The following is a 5,769-nucleotide window of genomic DNA, read 5'->3' as shown; positions in this document are numbered from 1 at the left end:
CAGTCCTTGCCTGAGCCTGGTTTGCAGAGCTGCTAGGAATTCATGCAGCTGCACTGCTCCAGATTAGGAGCAGGAGGTGTGCCCTCCTCAGGCCCTGTGGTCCAAGCTGCTGCAGAACCTGGGTCCAGGATTTCCTGTGACGATGGTCTTGCACAGCAGGGAAACCAACCCTCCTCACCAGAGGAAGAGTCTGGCAGTCCTGCCCAGGGCAAACCCACCCTTGAGCCAGCCAAACCATACTATGTCCTCTCTCTTGTTTATTTATTTTTTATTTTTATTTTTTTGTAGAGATGAGGTCTTACTATGTGCCTTGGCTGACCTCAAACTCCTGGGCTCAAGTGATCCTCCCACCTCAGCCTTCCAAATTGCTGGGGTTATAGGCATGAGACACAGCACCAGTGTGCCCTCTCTTGAGCTGGAGAAATCCCTGAGCCACTGAGCAGCTGACATGCTCCCAGGCCAGTGGAGTAACTACATGCCTGGGCCCAGGGTCTAAGGAACAGCCCAGTGGTGCCTACCTTCCTCAAGGACATGCCCCTAGCCTGCCCAAGGGCCCCGTGCCTGCAATCAAGGCTTGAGAAACAGCCTCATGGGCTGCCTGTGGCAGAATTATTTCCATGCCAGCTAAGCAGCCATGACTCCACATCTGGGACCTGAGAAACAGCCCCACAGGCTATAGTTGAAAGGCACAGCCCCAGGCTGGTCAAGCAACTGCACATCAGTGCCTGGCTAGAATAACACGCCCATGGCCCCAACCCCAGAGCGCCAGGCCCCAAGTTGGCTGACCCACCTTGCATATGCACACACTCCAGACCTGAGAAACAGCCTTGTAATCCCACCCTCAGCAAAGAGGTACTGCTACCACCACCACAAATTCTCAGCCTAAGCCACTGAGACACAAACATCCTTCCATGAGAAAACTGCACAGAGACTATGTTGCTGCATCTACCTAGAACCAAAGCCAATGCACTCCACCAAACTGACACCCCAAGAGCCATATATATAAATAAGTATTTCCCTACAAAACCTACTCCATAAAATTGGAAGAGGCAACTGTTCTATCAGATGCATAAAAATCACTATAGAAACACAATAAAAAAAGAAAACTACAGGTCAATATCCCTGATGAACACAGCTGCAAAAATCCTCAACAAAACACTAGCAAACAAAATCCAACAATACATCAAAAAGATAATACACCATGATCAAGTGAGATTTATACAAGGGATGCAAGGATGGCTCAACATACACAAATCAATAAATGTGATACATCACGTAAACAGAATGAATGACAAAAACTATATGAGCATCTCAATAGATGCAGAAAAAGCATTCAATAAAATTCAGCATTCCTTCATGATAAAAACTCTCAATAAATTAGGTATAGACAGAAAGTACCTCAACACAATAAAGGCCATATATGGAAAACCCACAGCCAACATCATACTGAGTGAGGGAAAGCTGAGATATTTTTCTCTAAGAACTGAAACAAGACAAGGATGCCCCTCACCACTTTTATTTATCATAGTACTAAAAGTTCTAGCGAGAGCAATTAGGCAAGAGAAAGAAATAAAGGGCATCCAAATTGGAAAGAAGGAAGTCAGGTTGCTCCTACTTGAAGGTGACATGATCTTATATGTAGAAAAACTGAAGACTCTACCAAAAAATTCTTAGAACTAATAAAAGGGTTCAGTAAAGTTGCAGTATACAAAACCGACACTCAAAAATCAGCAATGTTTATACAAAAACAACATACTAGATGAAAAAGAAGTCAAGAAGCCAATTCCATTTACAATAGCTACAAAATAATGTCTATGAGTAAATTTAACCAAGAAGGTGAAAGAACTTGACAAGAAAAACTATAAAACATTGATGAAAGAAATTGAAGAAGAAACAAATAAATGGAAAGACATTCCATGTTCATGAATGGGAAGAATCAGTATTGTTAAGATGACCACAATACCCAAAGCAACCTACAAATTCAATGCAATTCCTATCAAAATGCCGATGATATTCCTCACAACAAATAGAAAAAATAATCTTAAAATTTGTCTGGAACCAAAAAAAAAAAAAAAAAAAAACCCTGAATAGCCAAAGCAATTCTGAGCAGAAAGAACAAAGCTGGAGGCATCACACTACTAGACTTCAAAATATGCTACAAAGCTTTAGTACCAAAACAGCATGGTACTGACATAAAAACAGACACATAGAACAATGGAACAGAACAAAGAACCCATAAATTAATCCATGTATTTATATGAAACTGATTTTTGACAAAGGTGCCAAGAACACTCATTGGGGAAAGGACAGTATTTTCAATAAATGGTGCTGGGAAAACTTGATATCTACATGCAGAAGAATGAAACTAGACCGTCACCTCTTATCCTATTCAAAAATGAACTCAGGCCAGGTATGATGGCTCATGCCTATAATCCCAGCACTTTGGGAGGCCAAGGTGTGTGGATCACTTGAGGTCAGGAGTTCAGCTGGCCAACATGGTGAAACCTCACCTTTACAAAAAATACAAAAGTTAGCTGGGCATGGTGGCATGCACCTGTAACCCCAGCTACTCAGGTGGCTGAGGCATGGGAATTGCTTGAACCTGGGAGGTGGAGGTTGCAGTGAGCTGAGATCATGCCACTGCATTACAGCCTGCGCAACAGAGTGAGACTGTCAAAAAAAAAAAAACTCAAAATAGATCAAAGACATAAATGTAAGACCTGAAACAATAAAACTGCTAGGAGAAAACATAAGGGAAATGCTTCAAGACATTGGTCTGGGGAAAGATTTTATGAAAAAGACCTCAAAAGCACAGGCAATGAAAGCAAAAACAAACAAATAGGATTATATCAAACTAAAAGCCTTCTGCATAGCAAAGGAAACAATCAACAGAGTGAAAAGGCAACACACAGAATGGGAGAAAATATTTGCAAACTATTTGTCTGGCAGGGGATTAATAAACAGAATATACAAGGAACTCAAACATCTCAACCGCCAGAAAAGAATTTTAATTAAAAATGGGCAAACGATATGAATAGACATTCCTCAAAAGACATACCAATGGCCAAAAAATATATGAAAAGTTGTGCAGCATCACTAAGCATCAAGGAAATGCAAACTAAAATCACAGTGAGGTATCATCTTACCCCAGTTAGATTGGCTACTATCAAAAAGGCAAAAAATAACAAATGTTGGCAAGGATGCAGAGAAAAGGGAACTCATACATTGTTGGTAGGAATGTAAACTAGTAGCCTGTAATCCTAGCAATTTGGGAGGCCAAGGTGTTTGGATTGCCTGCGCTCAGGAGTTTGAGACCAGCCTGGGGAACCCAGTGAAACCACATCTCTACTAAAAGTACAAAAAATTAGTGAGATGTGGCGGTGTACACCTGTAATCCCAGCTACTAGGGAGGCTGAGACAGGAGAATCGCTTGAACCTGGAAGGTGGAGGTTGTAGTGAGCCGAGATCACACCATTGCATTCCAGCCTGGGCAACAGAGCAAGACTCTGTCAAGAAATAAAGAAAAGAAAGAAAGAAGAAAAGGAAGAAAGAAAGAAAGAAAGAAAGAAAGAAAGAAAGAAAGAAAGAAAGAAAGAAAGAAAGAAAGAAAGAAAGAAAAAGAAAGAAAGAAAGAAAGAAAGAAAGAAAGAAAGAAAGAAAGAAAGAAAGAAAGGAAAGAAAGAAAAGAAAGAAGAAGGAAGGAAGGAAGGAAGGAAGGAAGGAAGGAAGGAAGGAAGGAAAGAAAGAGAAAGAGAAAGAAAAGAAAGAAAGAAAGAGAAAGAAAAGAAAGAAAGTAATGTAAACTAGTATAGCAACTAGGGAGAACAGTATGAATGTTTCTCAAAAAACTATAATTAACACTACCATATGATCCAAGACTCCGACTATTGGGATTTCTTAAGGAAAGAAAATCAATATATCAAGGACACAACTGCACCCCTATGTTTATTGCAGCACTATTCACGATAGCCAAGATATGGAATTAACCTGTGTCCAACAACAAATGAATGGATAAAGAAAATGTGGCATATATACACACGATGGCGTACTATTCAGCCATTATAAAGAATGAAATCCTGTTATTCATGGCAATATAGATGGAACTGGAGAATCTTATGTTAAGTGAAATAAGCTAGGAACAAAAAGTTAAGCACTGCATGTTCTCACTCACACGTGCAAGCTAAAAAATGTTGATCTAATAGAAATCAAAAGTAGAACAAAGGATACTAGAGGCTAAGAAGGATAGGGGGAAGGGGAAATAAGGAGACATCTATTAAAGGATACAAAATTACAACTAGTTAGGAAGAATAAATTCTAGTGCTCTATACCACTGTAGATGGCTATAGTTAACAAAAATATATTACATAGTTTCGAATAGCTAGAAGGAGGATATTGAATGTTCCCAACACAAAGAAATGATAAATGTTTGAGAAGATGGATATGCTAATTACCTTCAACTGATCCCTATCTATTATACATCATTACGTACCCTATAAATATGCACTATTATATGTCAAATAAATAATTAAAATATTATTAGTCACAAAAAGGATGTATGCAACCAAAATTATATATAGCAGACTATAGCTGCAGCAAGCACAATTTTTGTTGAAAAATTACAGTGTGGTTAAAGGCATTTCTCTTGACAGCCTGGCATTGATGGTATGGTACCCACACCATGCCAGAAATTCTGAACGCAAATCTTCTTAATAAATTCCTTTCTGCTTTGAAAAAAAGAAAGATTATTCATTTGTAATGAATAATATGCGGCTTTAGAAAAAAACTCTTTAAATTCTTAAAGATAATTTAAACAAATTACTAACAGAAATTGTTCTAACGACAATATGTGTATAACATGTGTATATATTTGTTTGACTATTTGGGTTTTTTAAATTTGTGCTTATTTTTCAAATAATTTTATGTTTAAATTCAAAAAGTACTAAGCTCCCTCTAACTCCTAACTTCAGCTACTTGGTTCTCCTTCTGAAACTCAAAAAATATTATCATTTTTTTGTATATCCTTCTAGAGATAACTAGTTAACTATCCAACTAGTTAATGAATAGTTGGGCAAATGTATATATTTGCAAAACATACATTTATGTGAATATACATGCATATAAATGCACTTTTATATATTATTTTCTCTCATATATAAATGGTAGCACCTTATACACACTACTACTCTCTAGTTTTTTTTCAAACAATGTATCTTTGATATCACTTTAAGTATCTTTATAAAGATTTTCTCATTTGTAATACTTCCATAGTATTTCATGGCGTGGAAAATCATAATTTATTTAACTAGGTCCCATGGATAGACATGTATGTTGTTTCCAATTTTTGGCTATTGCAAATAATACTAAAAGCAATAAGCTTGTGAAAATACATCACGTGACTGTAAATATATCTGTAAATTAAATTTCTGTAAGTGGGATTACTGGGTCAAAAAAGTGTTGCCAAATTACTTTTCATAAAAGTTGTTCTAATTAAATGACCATCAGTAATACATAGGAATGCCTATTCCTCCACAGCCTCATCAACATAGTGAGTTATCAAAATTGTTTATCTTCATTAATCTGATTGGATAAAAATAGTATCTTTATGTTTGTTTGTTTGTTTTTTGAGACGGGGTCTCACTCTGTCACCCAGGTTGGAGTGCAGTGGTGCAATCTCGGCTCACTGCAACCTCCACCTCCCGGGTTCAAGTGATTCTCCTGCCTCAGCCTCCTGAGTAGCTGAGACTACAGGCATGTGTCACCATGCCCAGC

Source organism: Homo sapiens, chromosome 6 (assembly GCF_000001405.40).
Source record: "Homo sapiens chromosome 6, GRCh38.p14 Primary Assembly".
NCBI lineage: Eukaryota > Metazoa > Chordata > Mammalia > Primates > Hominidae > Homo > Homo sapiens.
This window is presented reverse-complemented; position numbering follows the sequence as displayed.